Source organism: Homo sapiens, chromosome 14 (assembly GCF_000001405.40).
Source record: "Homo sapiens chromosome 14, GRCh38.p14 Primary Assembly".
NCBI classification, from domain to species: domain Eukaryota; kingdom Metazoa; phylum Chordata; class Mammalia; order Primates; family Hominidae; genus Homo; species Homo sapiens.
The window spans coordinates 54679903-54699316 of NC_000014.9; the positions used below are offsets into that span (position 1 = coordinate 54679903).

Consider the following 19414-nt stretch of genomic DNA (forward strand, 5'->3'; position numbering starts at 1 on the left):
GACAAGAGGATTCTGTCTGGGCCTAAGATAGGACATGATGGGATAGTGACCTCGAGGATTTGGAAGCCAAATGATCGTGGACAGGTGTGTGCATCAAGAAAAGATGGAGCATGTGTGCTCACAGTCCTACCGGGGCCACACTCCCTTATCTTCAGATCATGGGTGGCTCATGCCCAATTCCCCCCACCATTTATTCCCTTGTTGTGTCTGTTGGAAAAATCTCACAGGCTTGCCTGAGGTCACTACATTTTTCTTTATACAGAAATCTTTTCTTAGGCTTCATGTAGTTGTAGACTAAGAACTATATAAGTGAAAATTAACAGTATTGGTTTTAATACAATTGCCAGATTTTCTATTTGAAAAAAGTCACTGCTCAGAAAATAAAAATTATTAAAACAACCCATGGTGAATTGGGCCTGAATTGCCACTCATTTTTTAACACATCTGCAGTGGAGTTGCTTCTTACCAATGTGGTGTAATTTTCAGGTCTGTTACTGAAAGACAGATTGAGTATGTTTCTGGACTGTGAGTAGATGATGTTTAGGGTTGCAATATGGGTATTGGGGCTATTCTTTTCCTGTGTCATTACTTTTTGATAGGTTTGTTTTAAGAGAAAATTAATGAAATTGAAGTTACTTAAGTTTGGCCGTATTTGTTAAATATCCTTTTCTGAGAAATTGAAAAGTGACTATTAGTTGAAACAAGATCAAGAAACTTCCAGCATATTTCAGCACATTCCTCAGTTTATAATGTTAAGGTTTTAAGAAAGCTTAAAGAAACCAGCATCACTGGTAGTTAAGCGGTTTATATTTTTACTGTATTTTCTTCAGAAGCTTGTTGCCATGTAGAGTAAAAGAAACCTCATGTTAATCTTTTCAGAGGACACTGCCAGTAAGAGTGTTGTTATTGTTAGATAATCATAATGGTATGTTCTGGAGTCTCTTCTCCCCTCACTCGACACACCCGATTCACTCCCACCCTGCCAGCGGAGCCAGAGAGAGAAGAATAAAGCAGGATCTTATTTGCTTTCAGAATTTGATTCTGTATTGCTTTGGAGACATGCTGGGATTTGTTCTTAAACTATTATTAAATTTCTAATGTCCGTCAAGGTTTAGATTCCTTTGTAAGAGAACCAAGAACGTAAGTGAAACTGTAAGGCTTCGCTGTGCAGACCTTTCTTCCAGCAAGCATCAGCTTAACCTCAGCAGTGAACCGATGGGGGACCAGCTGTTGGGCTGGGAACCAGGAGTAAGGCTGCAGAAAGACCCCCCCTCCAGCCCCCCAGCCCCCCAACCCCCCAACCGTGTGTCACTTCACCACGATGAGCCTCAGTTTCCTCACCACAGTCCCACTTGTCTTGCATTTGAGATGTGATAATGTTTAGAAAGAGATCTTGCCCACTTTTGAAAAAAGTACTCCACAGATGATAGATACTAATCAGACATGAAAGCAGAGATTAAATAGGTAAATGTGATTGTGTGTGTGTGTATTGATCATTATGCTCATGAGACACTGATTATTTTACTTTATTTATTTTTCTTTTTGGAGATGCGGACTCGCTCTGTTACCCAGGCTGGAGTATAGTGGCATGATCATGGCTCATAGCAGCCTTGAACTCCCTGACTCAAGCAATTCTACCACCTTGGCCTCCTGAGTAACTGGGACTACAGGCATGCACTACTATGCCCAGCTAATTTTTAAAAATCTTCTATAGAGATGGTATCTCCCTATGTTACCCAGGCTGGTCTCAAACTCCTGGGTTTAAGTGATCCTCCCACTTTGGCCTCCTAAAGTACTGGGATTACAGGTGTGAGCCACCACGCCCTGCCTTTTAGAAAACTTTTTTATTTTAATTAGTTTTTTGATGGAGCCCCAAATGAAAAATATGCAGGGAGATGAGTTTAGCAGGGCTTAAGTTCAAACAAAGTAAGAATTGGAACTCTCCCAAAAGATAAGCGGTTTAAGTAAGCTGTGACAGACCACTGCTCTGGAGGATGGAAAGATTTATGACTGCCGCAATATCCCACTTTAGGAGGAAATGCAGAGCCATTGAAGACAGACCACAAAATAATTATGCTGTCATAACATGCAGTACCTGGGTCTAGGACTGGCCTTACAGAGTGTTAAGGATGAATATTATGAACATGTGCCTGAGGTAGGTATTTCATTAGTGTGTGACTCAGGAATCTCCGGATCCCTGTTCTTATCCCACAATGTTTGGGGTTGTGGCCTTTAATGTTTGGGATTGTGGGGAGTCTGCTGTGTGCACAGAAGAATCTTGAGGTATGAGTTTATAGGGGAAGAGTCCATACGTCACATTCCCCTGACTCAAAAAGCAACAGAAGTAGCCAGAACTTGCTCAGTTCCATGTCGGCCTCCTGTCTCTTCTGTTTGATTCCATTTTCACTCCTCTGAGGCCTTTCTATCTTCCCTGAGCCATGCCTGTGTAGGAGGCAGCCACAGAATAATAAGCAGGTTTCCCTGTGGCTGTTGAACACTGGTACCAATGGTAGCCACGTGACAAACACACCACCCCATCTGGGTCCCAAACTCTCAACCAGTGCCCCTCTTTGCACACATCCCATTGAAGGCTCATTTTGTGAATCTGACATTTCCCAGTTCCTGATAACCCTGTTGATAATAATGGTTGCTAATCCTTGTCCATACTGTATTTGAAGCATTTACTTATGCATACCTCAGCTTGTTCCAAAAAGTATTCAAGAGGGGAGTTTCTGAGCACATAATCAAGTCTCCAAGGTGTTCGCTCTGGATCTGCACTCTGACTATGGCTGTGTCCTCAAAACAGTAAAAAGATAATGCAGTGGAAGATGAACATGTACCAAATTAAAGCGTAAAAGGAAATAGAGGCCAAATTCCTACACTATCAACATAGGCCAGCCCTGTTTTTCAGACATTCAGTGACTTATGCAATGCTGTATGTAATAGGCCTGCTGAAAGAAAGGAAATGAATGAACAAGGATAAACATGGGTTTTGGTATTGCTGGTACCTGAATAACCAACCCTGTGTTCCCTGCAGCCAGCATATTGTCCTCTCCCATTGCTGGCTGCCGTGCAGTGCTTCCGTCATGTGCTGCTGGAGGGGGCCCTCCCTGGGAAGCTGAGTGCCCCAAGGGTACCCTGCCTGGGTCTTGAGGGACAGAGTGTGTACTGACACTCTGGGCTTCATGGGCTTGGACTCCATTATATACACGTCTGCAAGATACCAAAGGAGGGCCACCATCTCTCAGTCATCTCCTTTCCAGGTACCCCTGAAGGGGATGAAATAGGGAGTGGCATTGGATCTCAGGACGATCCTTATAGGGATGGCTGAAAATACAGGTGCGAGCCTTTGTGAGGCAGGATAGAGTCTGAGGCACAGGACCATGCCAGGTTAGTGAGAGTCTCCCAGAAGACCCAAGTGGATGGCAGTGATGTCTGGAGCCCAAGGCAGTCACATAGGATTTCTAAGATCATGACTAAAAGGGATAGTTCCAAGAAAGATTGAGGAAAAATGCTGGTCATGAGATCAGGAATCCAGAATGACTTTTTTTCTATCAGATCTATAACCATCCACGATACTTCATGGAGAATCACTCCTGAGCTTGATGTATTCCTGCATCACAACCTGTACCACACAAACTCATCCCCTTCCTGGCAGAGCTCTGAGTATACTCCTCTGTCTCCATAGTTTGGATCAGAAAATGTAGATTCCTTCCTGAGGACCGCCTGTCTCATGAAGGAGGAGGAGAAGGTGGCACAGGAGTCTTTTTAAAAGGATTTTAAGGTGATCATTTGAGCCATAAAGAAACCAAGTTTTTATTCTTCAAGGCAAAAGGCTTTTTCAAGCCAGGTGATGAAAGTCTAAATTGCTCTACACAGAAGAACAGGAGGCACGTCTCCAGATAGATCCAGGTGGGCACAGTCTTAGTGAGGGGTAGATATATGAGATCATCCGTATGGGATCCCAGAAGCCAAAAGACTCACAGGAAAGGGAGTTTTCAAACCCCATCATTTCAAACTCCCAGCAAAATATTGCCATAGAAAAGAGTTTTCCAAAGTCAATCCATTACTGGCTCAGATATTAATAGAAAATCAGGAGTCAAGAAAAGGAAGAAGGTAGAGATTTTAAAGTCAGGCCTGGTTTTAATTTATTTGTGGTTATTCTAACTAGTAAGTGAAACACACTGCCTGTCTGGTGCCCTGTCCCAGGCATAAATTGCTCACCCATCAGAAAGGAATTAATTTTTTTCAAGGGTGCTACCTTAAAGCCATTAGTTTAGCAAATTAACTGATATTCCTAGAAAAGCTCCTTGCTTGTGCCAATAAATATTTACCGAGTTAGTGACACCTCTAACAGCACCCCCAAATCGCTGGGCCACTTCCAAAGGGGGAGCAGCTTACTTTCAGGAAATGGATTACTCACTTGTGGAATGAGACCAACACCCAGGCTACTCAGTTTCAACACACTTTAAAATGCAAAAGGGAACTTTCCTGCCTCAAGCTTTCAAACCTTTTCCAGATGGACCGAGGCGGGTGAGCCCATTGTGGTGCCCAACAGGCCTGGCTTAGGCTGGGGCTGCACACATCTAGCTGTGCCTCCCATCCCTGCCCTGCACACCGTACCATGAAGGGGGTTACAGACTTCCAGTGGGTTGCTGATAAGAGGCATCCCTGAGGGCCTGCCCTGTTTCCATTGGCCAGACACCCCCGCCCCCCCCCCCAACCAGAAACGGGAAACCTATGGAAAGGGCTCAGCTGGGTGCCGCCCCCTCCCCCAGATGCTGTTGTTAGTTTCACTTCTCAGCTGCAGCTGCCCACAGCTGTCTGGGGATGGAGCAGCAGCAAGGTAGTAGGGTGGTGGCATCTTTTTATTCTTCCAGACCTGGGCCTTTGGCCTGGTAGCCAGAGTGGGCAGGCAGCAGGCCTGCTCTGTGCAGCGTTTGACTTGGGGGTTAAGCCGGGTGCCTCAGGGCGGGACCTGGAAGGAGAAGCTGAGCGCAGTCCACCATTCAGTTCTGGGTACCAGGTTTTCAAAGAGGCATTAAGTGTAGCCAGAGGAGGGTGGCCAGGAAGCTGCAGGGGCCTGGAAATCATACCACCTAAAGATTGTTAGAAAAAACTGGAGACTGTTAGCCTGAAAAAGATTTAGGTGAATGGCTGTCTTCCCCTGAAGGGAGAGTAGATTTATCTTTTTGTATTTTTTTATCATAACATAAAATCTGCCATTTTAATCATTTTTAAATATACAGTCCTGTGGCATTAATTATATTCACAATGTTGTGTGACCATCACAGCTATCAATTTCTAGAACTTTATCATCATCCCAAACAGAAACTCTGTTCCCATTAAACAATAACTCCCCATTCTTCCTGCCCCCCCCCCCAGCTCCTGGCAGCCACCATTCTGCTTTCTGACTACTCAAGAGACCTCATACAAGTGGAGTCATACAGCATTTGTCCTTTTGTGTCTAGCTTAATTAACTTAGCACAGTGTCCTTGAGGTCCATCTATGTTATAGCATGCACTGGAATTTCCTTCCTTGTTGAGGCTGAAGAGGATTCCATTGGATGTATATTCCGCATGTTGTTTACCTATTCATCTGTTGATGGACATTTGGGTTGCTTCCACCTTATGACTTGTGAATAATGCTACTGTGAACATTGGTACGCTAGTACTTGTTCGTAGATTTTTTTTCTTTGTGGTTTCAGAAAAACTGATCTTAGCCAAATGGTTAGAAGTTGCAGAGAAGCTGATTGTGGCTTTAGTAACCCCAGCTCTCTTCAGTGGTGGAAAGGCTCCCCATGGTTGGGAGTGGTGTGTGGTAAGAACACTTACAACCAGAACAGAGAGAACCAGAAAATCTCTGAGGTCCCTTCCATCTCCAGAATTCCATGATTTTCAGGCAGATTGAGGTATGCATCCGAAGGGTAACATCTGGAGAAAAAGGAAGTGGTGTCAGATCAGCTTCAGTTTCCTGAGGAAGAAAAGAGGGAATTGGGATGTTAAATTATCTACCAGTCAGGAGAGGTTACTTGCTAAACTATCTCTGGCCTGGACTTGACAACAGAAAGTGATGCTCCTGTGAAGCTCATACAAAGGTCCTATGTAGTCTCAGGGAGATCTTTCTAAGCTCCAGCGAAAGCTTTCTTGTACTCTAGCTTCCTGGGGGATAGGGTGGTGAGTCCAGCTTTCTCAGCACAAATCCCTCATGTCTGCCTAGAAAGAAGGGATGCCTTTAGAGGACCTGAGCCCTGTCTCCATGCAGGTTATTCTGAATGTGGGTGAGGGAGTGGGTGAGGATGGGGAGTGCTGGGTTGGGAAGTTTCAGGAGTGAATATCAGCTGAGGTGGGGATGCCCTGGCTCCCAACACAATTAGCTTCATTCTGCTACAGTTGGGGGTTTTCTTATCATTAGTCGGGAAGGCCTAGCCAGAGAATTCCAGTATTCCAGAGCAAGTTTAATTGTGGGTGATTTCATTCTGCCCTTTTTATGTCGCAGCCAGGGGCTTGCGTCATATAACAGTGAATTCAGGGAGATTTTTATTTGCATGTGAATCATAGCTTTTCCAGCTGAATGTCACTTACTTGGAATTTTTGTCTGATTTTGTTTTTGTTTTTGTCTCTTGGTGTTTTTCCATCGGGCTCTTTGGCTAACCAGAAAAAAAAAAAATAGAGGAAGGGCTCAATCTGACTGAAACAGGGTTTGAGTTGGCAACTCAAAAGGAGAGTATTATGAATGTGAAAAAAAGAAAACGGATGCTTTATTTTGCTTTGAGGGAGGGACCGAAGCCAAGTCAAATTGAGAGCTCTAATTTGGGAATAGTGTTATTACAGGTCATTGGGAGTTGGTTACGCGCTAAATTGGGAGGCCAGTCACATGAGGAGGCAGCAGAGGCAGATCACATGGGGGACAGTTGGGGCCCTTTTATAATGAAATTTTGTTTTATTTACTACACAGTTGAAATGTACTTATGTCATTTTGAGAAACCAAGTCACCTTATTGGCTGGGAGTTGCTCCCTGCCCTGGCCCATCAGTTGTTTGATAAATAAGCCAGTTCTTCCAATCTTTGTGCTTTCCGGGGCTTGATTTTGGCAGTGGGATCTGTGCAGTGATTCATGGAGCTGACCCTGTGATAGGGGTTATACATCTGCCCTTCCCCTGACTGACTCCAAGGGGCTTGATCTCTTCTCCTCCAAAGGCTCTACCCATTTTAGACCTCAAGGTCAAGACATACAGAAAACTTCTAACATTATATAAAGAAGTGATGACCTTTGTTTTTTAGATTATCTTCCATTTTCTCAGCACTGTTCCTCTTAATGTCATCTTGCAAAATAAGAAAGAGAAAAGATGGATCCTGCCCCTCCATGGGCAGTTATGAACCAAGTATTTCTTCTTACCTCAAAACTGCAGACTTTGGATGTTCTTGGCATCTCGGGGAGGACCAGGAAGGGTGGTGTGTGGTCAGCTGCTGATTTTCCTTGAAGAATCAAAGTTGGCATTCTTGGTGTCCACAGCCCTGATTAGTTAGCTGTGTTTGAAATAAAAACAAACAAAAAAAGGCAGCCAAAAAACAATATCTAGAATTCAGTTAATTCATTCCCACTGCAAACAAGTTGTGCTCATGCTCCTAAATGGGGTATGTTACTAAGCCGGTGACACAGAGCATCTGGGCCGGCGATGCTTGTGATCGAGGTTAGGAATAGAAGGTGTGTGGAAACTTTCTATAAAAGGCAGCCAGGTCCCCTGGACAAGGGGTCAGGAAGCTTCAGCACTGTTCACGGTGGCACCAGGGCATTACTGCATGATTTGGGGCAAGTGTCTCTGCGCCTTGGTGTCCCCTAAGTGCCGTATTGATTTGGGGGAATGGGAGGGTAAGGGCCTCAAGAAATGTTTGAGATGTAAAATGTTAAATGTTTGAGATGTGACATGTAAGATAAGTGGAGGGAGCGTGATGTCACAGGAGCTCAAATCAGGGCCACGTGTCCCTGAATGGGGCTGGGCTGCTGTCCCTTCTCAGGCATCACCCTCTGTGGCTGATGCCTCTGACATCATAATACCCAGCCAGACACTCAATAATGATGAGCTGTGCCCAGTGGACACCTGAGGAGGGAAGAAAAGGAGAAGGACAAAGTGGAGAGGGAGGAGATGGAGCAATCTCTTATGTGATCATTCCATCAACTCACAAATTTTTCACCTAACACCTGGTTCAACTGTAATGTGCTCAGCTCCGTATAACCTGGACAGCAGCTGTGCCCTCACCCCTAAACTCAGCAAAATATTATGGTCCTCTAATCAAGAGAATTTTGCTCCTGTTACTGCATGTCTTGTGGGTTCATCGTCAGACCAGTGAGTTGATACCAAACTTCACCAAACGGTTCTCCGGAGCAACCGTTTAGAGGTAACGTACTGGCTCTCACGCCCAGGCTTCTCTGGGCTTCTGCAGACTCATCTCAACTCTCCTCCTTGGAGCAGCACATAACTGGGGATTGTGTGGGGGTGGTTTGTGAGGGTGTGAGCCTGTGGTAAAGATGCTTTAAAACTGAAATTCTCACCTTCGTTTGATTCATGAGCCAGCACAGGCTTGGCCAGACTTTGTTTATTCTTATGGCACTCTTCAAACCCAAACGGGCCAAATCGTGGCTTCCCTGTCTATCCTTAGATGCAGCGATTGCTGCTTTTAACTGGGTAGGTTGCTATGAATAGAAAACTTGAGAGATCAGCCCTGTCTTAGAAATATTATGACATTTTGCTTATTTATTGTTGACTTAAAAAAAAATCCAACAACTTCCTCTAAAAATAGGTCCTTGCCACTCTTTCAACTGCTTCCTCCTAGCCTTTCTCCTGGTAAGAAATCATGGTTCCCACCTGGTTTCACATCAGCCTTACTCGATCCTCCAAATGCTATCAATTGGAGGCCATGATTTTCTTGGGTTCTCAAATGTGAACCTGGATCAAAATCATCAGGGGGCTGGTTAAACACAGTTTTTGATTCAGTAGATCTATAGAGAGGGTCCCAGAAGTCGTAATTCTTTTTTTTTTTTTTTTTGAGGCGGAGTTTTGCTCCTGTTTTCCAGGTTAGAGTCCAATGGCACAATCTTGGCTCACTGCAAACTCCTTCTCCCGAGTTCAAGCGATTCTTCTGCCTCAACTTCCCGAGTAGCTGGGATTAAAGGCGCCCGCCACCATGCCTGGCTAATTTTTGTATTTTTAGTAGAGACAGGATTTCACCACGTTGGCCAGGCTGGTCTCAAACTCCTGACCTACAGGTGATCCACCCACCTCAGCCTCCCAAAGTGCTGGGATTACAGGCATGAGCCACCGCGCCCGGCCCAGAGGTTGTATTTCTAACAATTTTCCAGGCATGCCCCTCCTCCATACTTTGTGAACCAGTGCCTTAGGGCTTTGGGTCTCCTCCTGTCCCCATCCTGTAGGAGAGAGCCCCATGGAGCATGATCCTGGTCCCTTAGATTGGTGGTGAGCAGCTAACAACCACATAGTACTCACCATGGGCCAGATGATGGTCCCATGCTTTACAAAGATTAAGTAACTCAAACATCACCAATCTTAGGAGGTAGCCCATTTTCCAGATGGAGGAACTGAAGCACAGAGTGGTTAAGTGAATTGCCCAAGTTCACACAGCTCATTCAATGGAAGCTCAGACAACATGGCTAGCATCTGTGCTCTCATTCCCCACGCCATATTATCATTCTGTTTTCCCCAAGTCACTTAGAGCACCTGATACTCCTACAGTTCTTAAGAGTGAATACCTTAGAAAGGAGCCGCCAAGACAACTGAACCCATCTTAGGCGCTAACAACCAGCATCTTGGGCTCCGATTGTCCAGGTGACTTGACTACCCTACCTGTGTCTGTGACTGAGTAGAGGCAAGAGGAGGGGGCTCTTAGCAGAAATACATTGGACATGTGACCTGGTGAAGGCCAAGGGAGGGGTGTTGATGTGAAGACGCTGGGGACATCATCTGTGAAGACAGGCCAGCCCTCCCCTTCTGCTGGAGCCTCAGTGTCCCCTCACCATTCTGCGCTGGTCCAGAGATTTCCTGCTATTGATACTTATCAGAGACACAAAGCTGAGGAGGAACAGATGTGCCATGTCATCAGCCATAATAGAAAAAGTGCATGAATCTTTTTTGGACCAGGTTGGTCTAGCAAGGCTGTGTGATCAGCACTAACCTGGGTGAGGGAGTAGGAGACACAGAAGTGGATGGACTGTCCCCACCCACAAGGAGGGGTGAAGTGGGGGGGGTGTTATACAGATATGCAAGTCACTGAGCTCAATTGTGGTAGAGAAAAGGCAATGAGGGCCCAAATGGGTAAATGGCATTTGGGGAGAGAGGTGGATTCTTAAACTACATCACAGATGATGATAGGAGCAGGAGGGGGAGGGTTCAGATGTGTCCAAGACATATCTACAGCAGAGAGTATGTAATGATAAATAATAGTGATCTCTTTTGAGATTCAAACAGCCAGAGGTTAAGTCTCCACTGGTATAGTGATAATAGACTAAGCTCTTTTTTTTTTTCTGCCAAATAATGTGTTGAGTCCTGGCTGGAGGGCCTAGGAGTACTTTAGAAGATGGATTCTACTCCTTACAGTGTTGCCTGTTGGTTCTAGAAATGGAGCCCTTCTCCAAGTATTTCTCTACCCCATTGGTCTGATTCTCCCCAAGTTATTTGTGTTACAGACACTTCTATGGGTACAAAACTTTCCCTTTGGCTATCTCTGATACCACAAATGTCATTGAAAAGGACAGATCCTAGCACTAGGCCATATACATTGATAGGAACCAAAGACAGATATCTGATAGATTAATAAATACAACCACTTCCAAAGGTGATGGTATGAAGCTAGATTCAAACAACACAGTAGGCCAGTGCTGTCACTCCCAGCTCAGAACCATTGTGGCTAGAAGTTAGCTTTGTCTTTCTCCTCACTGAGCCATGTGTCTCAGACCCTGGGGTAGAGTTGAGGGAGGGCAGACAATGGTTAGTTTCCAAACTCCCTGGACATAGGGGCCCCTTGCTGCCTTCTGCCTTCCTCCATAGAGTTTAGAAGGTTTGTTTCCAGGAAGGAGCTCCTTCCTGCCAGGTTTGTCCTCTCTCCAGCTTCTCAGCAGTGCAGGGTGCTTACAACACAGCCCACAGGCCTGCCTGCACTGGGCTGTGTGGGTCTGTAGACAAGGTTCTCAACTCTGCCTCTGCGTCTGCTCCTCTCCGTCCTACTGGGCCTTTCTGCTCCCCCTTACCTTTCCCTGCCTGAGCCCTCTCACTGTTTTTGTGCCTGCCTTTGTTGTAGAATTCTAGATGGCAGCATGCTTGCAACTTGGGAAGGATGAGGCCCTTGTCTGGAGACATTATCCCTATGAGCTCTGAGGTCTTGTCTCCTTCTGTAGCATCCCCACCAATGTGGCCAAAGCCAAGGGCCCTCATCTGATCAGTCCTCCTGATTCTGGTCCAGCCACTGAGCCCTAGGTCTACTCAATTTCATGGCAGGATACCCAGAAGGAGGGAAATGGCCTCAGCCATTCTCATTCCTATTTAGAGAAGTGCATTCTTCACCATCATCCTTCCTACCTTTTCTTCTTACCCACTGCCCAAGGACTTCAGCAATGAAAAAGTAGCTTCCCTTCTCAAAAAAAAAAAAAAAAAAAAAAAAAATCTGAAAAATCTTATTCTGATTGCATCAATAGACCTACTAACCTGAAAATGAGTTTGGTGCACAAGTAACAGGTGAAAATCAGCAGCCTTTTACTGCTTACTGTTGCAGAAATTCCCAGCATTGGCTGGCGGCTGGAGGGGAAGCAGGAAGGGAGGTGTGCCTCTAGCTCCCTCTACAGGGCTGTGCCCCAGGAGGACAGGAGAGCCAGGCTGAATATGTTCCAGGGTCACCCAACTCTGTCCTTGTACAGTTAGCCAGGCCTTTCTTTCCAAAAAGAGTATCAGTTAATTTGTGACTATGGACTCGAATATCCTGCCTCCACAAAATTGTTCATTCTGTCCCCCATTGGATGACTTGTACGTGTATTTCATATTTCATACCTAAATGAGTGATACATACATTTTACTATCAACATTGCTAACATGCATATTTTGGGAATATCTACATGCTGTTCCTTGGTGACAATATTTACATGGTTACACACCACACCACAGGGCTCTTACATTCACACTTACACTTTGGATCCCATCTCTTGAGTTGGGAAATTTTGTCTATAAGTTGTTGAGCAACTTCCTCGTTATTTTAGAAAGCGTGGGACCCAGTGACTTCACAGTTCACAGTCATGTAAAGATATAGAATGGCTCCCTGGTGTCAGGGGTGGGATGTGTGCACTCCAGCCCTTCCCAGACTTCCTGAGGTGTATAAACCTGTTGTGTGGCATGGCTGTTGTTCCGTTTGCTCCACTGAATTAAGCATGAACTATTCTTTTGTGATTCAGTCTGTTTATACTCCTCCCAAGATACTCCTCTGTTGACTGTCTGGACATTGCCAAGGATGCTGGCCTTGGAGTTCTTTGTAAAATATTATTGCAGTTAGGTTACGTGGACAATGCCGTGCTCCTTTTGGGACTCTCATGTCTAGAGCCTCTTGTGCAACAGGGGCTAAATCTAAGTGTAGAAGCAGAAAGCACACTTTTCTCCTTTGCAAGGTCAGCATGAGGATTGCTAATTCATTATTTTAAGGTACTATTGGAGTGTCACTCTGTGGTGTGTGGGGTTTTGGCAGTGGTGGTCTGGAGTGTGAGGGCGGCGCTGAAGATTAGAGAGTGGGAAAGCTTCCTGTGTTTAGAACACTTCCAGCCTCTCCTCTGAGGGGTTTTTGGTGTAAAAAACTAGTCGAGTGTGGTTTACAAGAATGTGTCTTGTGTTTGTCGAGTGAGGTAACATTTTTTTCATCTCTAATTTATATAACTCTTAGGAGACCCATTCCTATGAGGCCTTATTGAAACAATCACTTAGTGCCCCCCCCCGCAAAAAAATCAGACATATAACAGTCTTAACCCTGTTGACATTGTTTTTCTTTCCTTCTTCAACAGATGTTTGCAAGAGTTGTATTAAATATATTTCATTCTGCTGTCTCAGCCTCTCAAATCCTTTTCACGAAGATTACTTTAATGGGTGTCAGTTACAATCACAAAAAGCACCCATTTTGCTTTTGTTTTCTAGCAAAAAACAATGGGGAAACTTTCCATCTTAAACAGAATATTGAAAAGGGGGGGGTAGTAAAGACTTTGAAAATTGAGCTAATCATTTTATTTTCCTCTTTTCCATGTTCCTGTTTTTATTTGATGTTAAAGCTAAAAATAATCAGAATACAACAAAGTTGAATGAGAAAGGGGCAACTGAACAGTTTGTGTGTGACAGTTGGTACCTACTATTGTTTATAGGTCGTCTATTCTATCTTAAGCCTTCCATTTAAAGGAAACTTCTAGGAAATACCTAACATTTTGAAGAAATCCAAACGACTATTAAAACACTATCAAACAAAAGGCCATAATTAGCTGGGCGCAGTGCCTCATGCCTGTAATCCTAGTACTTTGGGAGGCTGAGGCAGGAGGATCATTTGAAACTAACCTGAGCAACAAAGCAAGACTCCATCTCTACAAAAAATACAAAAATTAGCCAGATGTGGTAGTAGATGGCTGTAGTCCGAGCTGCTTAGGATGTTGAGGTGGGAGGAAGGCTTGAGGCTAAGAGGTTGAGGTTGCAGTGAGCTGTGATTGTGCCACTGCTCTCTAGCCTGGGCAACAGAGCAAGACCCTGTCTCAAAAAAAAACTGTAATTAAGAAGGAACTATTAATGCATGAAAAAATGGAGACACCCTCATTACCCTCATGGAGCTTGCATTCTAATGGAGAGGGGCCAGAAATAAGCATACTGTACAGCAGGTCACATGGTGGTAAGCGCTATGGAAAAAACAAAGCATGACCTGGGAATAAGGGAGTGTAAGGTGAGAGAGTGGGGTGGGCAATTTAAAATAGTGTAGACAGATAAGATCTCATTAGGAAGGTGACATTTGAGCAAAGACAGAGCTGAGAGAGGCTAAACATGGGTGTGGGGGAAACGTGTTCCAGGCAGAGGAAGCAGCAAGTGTGAAGGTTCTGAGGCAGGCACGCGGCTGATATGTTGAAGGAACATCACAGCAGCCAGGATGGACTGAAACAGGAGAGGGTCAGTAGTAAGGGTGGAGGCTAGATCATAGAGGGACTAACAGGCCATCATAAGGACTTTGGCTTTTACTCTGAGATGGGAAGCCATTGACATGTTTGATCAGGGGAGTGACATGACTTACCTTCTAGTTTTAAAAGATCCTTCTTTTAGAAATGATTGTTATGGTTGATAAGAGACTACTGGAGAGGGTGGGGATATGCAGAAACATGGTGAGGGGTAGTCACATTCCAGATGTATTTTGAAGATTCAGCCCATAGGATTTATGGAGAGGTTAGATGCAGGATATGAGAGAAAGGAGTCAAGGATACTCCAAGGTTTTGACCTGAGCAATTGGAAAGATGGAAAGCCATCTGCTGAGATAGGAAAGAGGAGCAAAGAAGCAGATGTGGTGAGAGTGAGAGCAAGAGTTGGGTTGTGGACATGTTGACTTTGAGATCATCTGAGTGAGCATGGAGAGGGTGCAGTTGGAGTGTGAATCTGGGGCTCAGGGGAGAAACCTGGGCTGGAAATACAAACGTGGAGTTGTCTGCATACTCATGGGCCAGAGGTCAGAACCGAGGCAGGTGGCTGGGGGAGCTGGCCTGGTTTTTGTGCCCTCTGGGAATGGCCAGCCTCAGACCTCCTGACTGGTCATGGCCAGGAGGTCAGAAATCTGAAGGTGAATCCTAACCCTAACTTGAGTCCTTGGCTGAGATCTCAGGACTACTTCCCAGCTGGCCTGGGTCCTCAAGGAGTAAAGGAGCAGTCCTGGAGCACCCAGCTGTGCCGGTACCTGGGGAAAAAGTAACTACAGATGGAAAGTCTCCATGGAAGAAATGACCAGATCTCTACTCTGGAAAGGTAAAGGGCTCATTGGAAGTATCTGCTAGGGCAAGAGGTACCTGGTTCTTGCCTTTTGAGGATGGTCAGATGCCTTTGAATGACCAGCACCTGATGACCTTCTGCTGTCAGAAAAGACTGGAATGGTCATAATGGTCTATACAGTCCACTACATAGATGCCTGCCTTTTCTAGTGAATCCAAGGGACAGTAGCATTTTGAAGTGATCTTTACCAAGTAACCAAAAGCTCTCTGTATTCATTAACTATTGCTGTGTAACAAACTACCCTAAAACTTAATGACTTAACATAACAACAAGTTATCTCAGTTTTCTGAGGGTCAGCAATTTAGAACAGCCTGGCTGGGAAGCTCTGCCTTAAGGTCTCCAACAAAGCTGTAGTCAAGAAATAAACTAGACCTGGAGGAGCCACTTCCAAGCTCACTCACATGGCTGGCAAGTTGATTCTGGCTGTTGGCAGGAGGCCTGAACTCCTCCCCATACAGGTCTCTCCCTGGGATGCCTGAGCATCTTCATAATTGGTGTGACTGGCTTCCCCCAGAACAAGTGAACCAAGACAGCAAGGTAGAAGCTGCAATGCTTTTTATGACCTAAGGTCAGAACGCCTCCACTGCACACTCTTGGTCACATAGACCAGCTCTCATTCAGTGTGGGAGAAAAGCACATAGGTGAATACCAGTAGTCTAGGATCAATGGAGGCCACCCTGGAAGCCCGCAATCACCTTCCTTGAAAATAGGGGGAGGGTTAGGGCCGGGCACGGTGGCTCACGCCTGTAATCCCAGCACTTTGGGAGGCCAAGGCAGGTGGATCATGAGGTCAGGAGTTCAAGACCAGCCTAGCCAACATGGTGAAACCCCATCTCTACTAAAAATACAAAAATTAGCCAGGCGTGGTGGCGCATGCCTGTAATCCCAGCTACTTGGGAGGCTGAATCAGGAGAATCGCTTGAACCCAGGAGGCGGAGGTTACAGTGAGCCAAGACCATGCCACTGTGCTCCAGCCTGGTGACGGAGTGAGACTCCATCTCAGAAAAAAAAAAAAAAAAAAAAGAAAAAGAAAATAGGGGGAGGGTTTATATCTTTTCAATCCTTTGTACCTTTTCAAAACACTACTTGCAGCTGTAAGGGCTCATAACTCCAGACTGGGTTCCCCATCACAACTGGTCTAATCCATACCACTAGCAGGGCTCCCACCAAATTATGGGGATTCTTCTCTGGTCACCTCTAGCTCAAGAGGGTACCTTGGGAGACAAACTCAAGTGCAGGTGCCAACACAAGAATCCCACCATTTGCCATGTTGGTATTTTTGCCCTGATTTTTCAGGTGCCCTGGGCTGAAAAATATCTCTACAAATAAATACATGGTGTGTGTGGTTATCCACTTTTGAGTTGTGCAGAGTTGCACTATATTTAGAAGCTTTTAGTACATGATGTGTCTAGGATTGACTTTGTAACATTCTTCCAAGGAGTCTTTGACCATGTAAAACCCACCAATATTCCTGCCTTTTAGCACATTTATTTCACCAGTACTTCTTCTGTGTGTGCATTTAATTCCTAGCCATTTCTTGCATGAGCAAATTGCCTAAATGCGCTTGTGAGAAACCCTTTTATGGCAAACGTTATTAAACTGAAAACAAGGGTATAATAAAATAGCAATTTAAGAGTAATTTACTAACAACTAGAGCCCTTAAGCATTGACATACCATTGTGTAGCAATAATACCAGACTTGGTATTTAAACACACTCTTTGTCACTCCAAAAATCATTGGGACAGTTTCCTAATCCTCATGGTCTTTAATTATAGCTCTTCTAATTTTTTTTACTACTCCTATGTCACTGGTTTACAAATTATAAATCATTAACTTTTATCCACATTAAACATCCATGTAATAGAACTGTTACATCTCTGCTCCTTATACAGAGAAATAACAAAGAAAATATTCAGAAAACATAGTAGAGGTGAGCTGACATCATCAAACCTTGAAGTTCTTGCACTTAAGTTTTCCACTGTGTCCTGAATCAGGTGATATTGGGGTGAGTAATGGTAGAGACTGGATCTCAGAAGTGATCAATTAATTGAAAATTCTGAGGATTCCTGCATCTTCCCCAGGGAGGAGAATTTGTCAAATGCAAATCTCAGCAAAGATTCTTTGCTCTCTGGAAGATAGTGTGGATGCCACAGAGGCCAGTGGGCAGTTGGACAGGACCTAGCCAGTGTGACCAAGTCCCTGCATGTAGGGTCTGGCTTCCGTTTGAAGGTAGAGATGTTCACGCTTGTCAGCACCCTGGGGATACTCTCCTGAAAGACTGACTCATGCTAACTAGAAAGCAGGGAGGTAGACACTGCAATGCTGGCTGGTTAATTTGCCACGAGGAGCCATCATCAGAGAGACCAGACGTACTCCAAGTCCATATAATCAGCACACATTGTCCTTGTCGGCAGGCCTCCACAGGAAGCCAAATCATAATCAGAAATTATGTATTAAGTTGCCCTGACAAATCATTATCACAGATTTTGGAAATACCTCAAGTCTCTATGATCAGTTCATTCTCTCCTTGAGGGTAGCTGGGGAGCTAAATCATGGTCCAAAGGTTGTTTTGTGAGTGGATAATCAGGACGGGGGCGCTGAGGAAGGGAAATGTTTAGTGGCAACGGGAACTTCATGGGTCCATGCCAGAATGGGAATGGCTTTGCCAGAAAGACTGATGTATTCAAAACCAAGTGGCTAAAACTTCCTTTTACCTAGAGGGACAGTTGGATAGTGTATTAATTAACTTAGCAGCTTAAAACAATAAACATGTTACACAGTTTCTGTGGGTCAGAAATATGAGAGATTCTGGCTTAGGATTCCTCAAAATGGTATGTGGGCTGCAGTTGTCCAAAGGCTTATCTGGGCTAGGAGATCTGCTTCCAAGATGGTTCCCTCATATGGCTGGCAACTTGGTGCTAGGTATTGGCACGAGGCCTCGGTTCCTCACTACAAGGACCTCCCCATTGGGTTGCTTGCATGATGTCACAACATGGCAGCTGGCTTTCCCCAGAGTGAGTACTCGGAGACAGCAAGGGGAGGCCATAATGCCTTTTATAACCTAATCCATAAAGTCACATACCGCCATTTCCCCTACATTCTATTTACTGAAAGTGACTCACTGAATCCAACCTGCACTCAGAAGGAAGGGAATTAGGCTCCACCTTTCAAAGAGGTGTGTCAAATAAATAGTTAACATATTTTAAACCACAATAGGTATAACTTACATTGTCTCTGTAACTCCTTTTTATTATACTTCTGTTGCTCACCAACTGTGATTATCCATGTACTCTATTAATACATTTATATAATGTTTATAACTATTACATATTTGTATGCATTTATATGTAATTCTGTATCATATAACTATAGAACATCTAATTATGTTATAAATATCAATATATTTGGCTTATGGCCACGCTGTTGTAGCAGGACAGCCATTATGTATCTAATATCAAATTTGCCTACCTCCATTCTGCCACTTCACTAGCAGGGGGCTGGGGGCAAGTAACTTGGCCCATTTGTGCCCCTGTGCCTTCATCTGTAAAAGAAGGCTAGTAATAGGACCTACCTCATAAGCTTCTTGGGAGGATTAAGTGAGTAATTAAATGCACAGGGCTTAGAAGAGTGCCTGGCACTTCGAAAACATTCAATACTGTTGGCTCTCAGCAGTGGCAGCTGGAGTAGTAGCAGAAATAGTTTGATCCAGTAGGTGTAGTTAGCCCTCAGAGAGCAATCTGATTTCTGTGTTCCCAGTGGTAGTAAACAAAAGCAATACTTGTCTTCCTGGTCCCACCATCCAAGCCCTGTCCTGAGGATAAAGGGACCGGGGCCAGCGGCCTCTCGTTTTCCTTCCTCTTTGCTATGCTTGTTCCTCCTCTGAATCCCAGGTTAATCCACAGCAGAGAGCGGTTACATGGAGATAACATGTTTCGTTTGTACTATGACTCCTATTTATGTTTTGTTTTTGTTGCTGATTTTTTTTTTTTTTAGGTTGACCTTTTGTGGAAGGGTAGAATGTCCAATCAGGGAAATGACCTAGCAGAAAGCTAGGGAGTTCCTCAGCCTCATGAATTTTTTATTAGAAGTCATTCCTAATTTTTATCTTTAAATGTACATTTTCAAGGATGTACACTAGCCACCTCTGATTACAGTAGGCTTACAGCATAACCCCTTTTGCTTCTTGGCCCCTTTTGCTTCTTTTCAGTGCCTCTTGGGCTTAATGAATAGATTTTATCTTCATGCTAAGCACATTCATCATTTAAAACATGCCTGGTATTTGCTGAAGATGAATTGAGGAGAAAGTTAGAATTGGAATTTTCTTTGCCTCTCAGCGCTACTTTAAAAGGGAGGCTATACCTAGTG

At 44.6% G+C, this 19414-nt stretch overlaps 1 protein-coding gene and 1 long non-coding RNA gene across 18 annotated transcripts in view; one reads left to right on the top strand and one right to left on the bottom strand.

Moving 5' to 3' along the window:
- SAMD4A (sterile alpha motif domain containing 4A) overlaps window positions 1-19414 on the top strand; it is a 228000-nt gene that overhangs the window by 114587 nt on the left and 93999 nt on the right. Inside the window, exon 2 of one of the 16 annotated variants that reach the window (XM_047431142.1) lies at window positions 2033-2155. The exons of the other annotated variants lie outside the window; for them this stretch is intronic. The gene's annotated coding sequence lies outside the window, so the exon portion shown is untranslated. The remainder of the gene's footprint in view (window positions 1-2032; window positions 2156-19414) is intronic. 16 annotated transcript variants of the gene reach the window in all.
- Window positions 3792-8008, bottom strand: SAMD4A-AS1 (SAMD4A antisense RNA 1). Of its 2 annotated transcripts, none has more exons than NR_187162.1 (3): window positions 7398-8008; window positions 5835-5973; window positions 3792-5083 (listed from the first exon to the last, which is right to left on the bottom strand). It is a non-coding gene; the product is annotated as an SAMD4A antisense RNA 1 (long non-coding RNA). The 2 variants fall into 2 exon arrangements; NR_187163.1 differs by having other exon boundaries at window positions 3792-5099.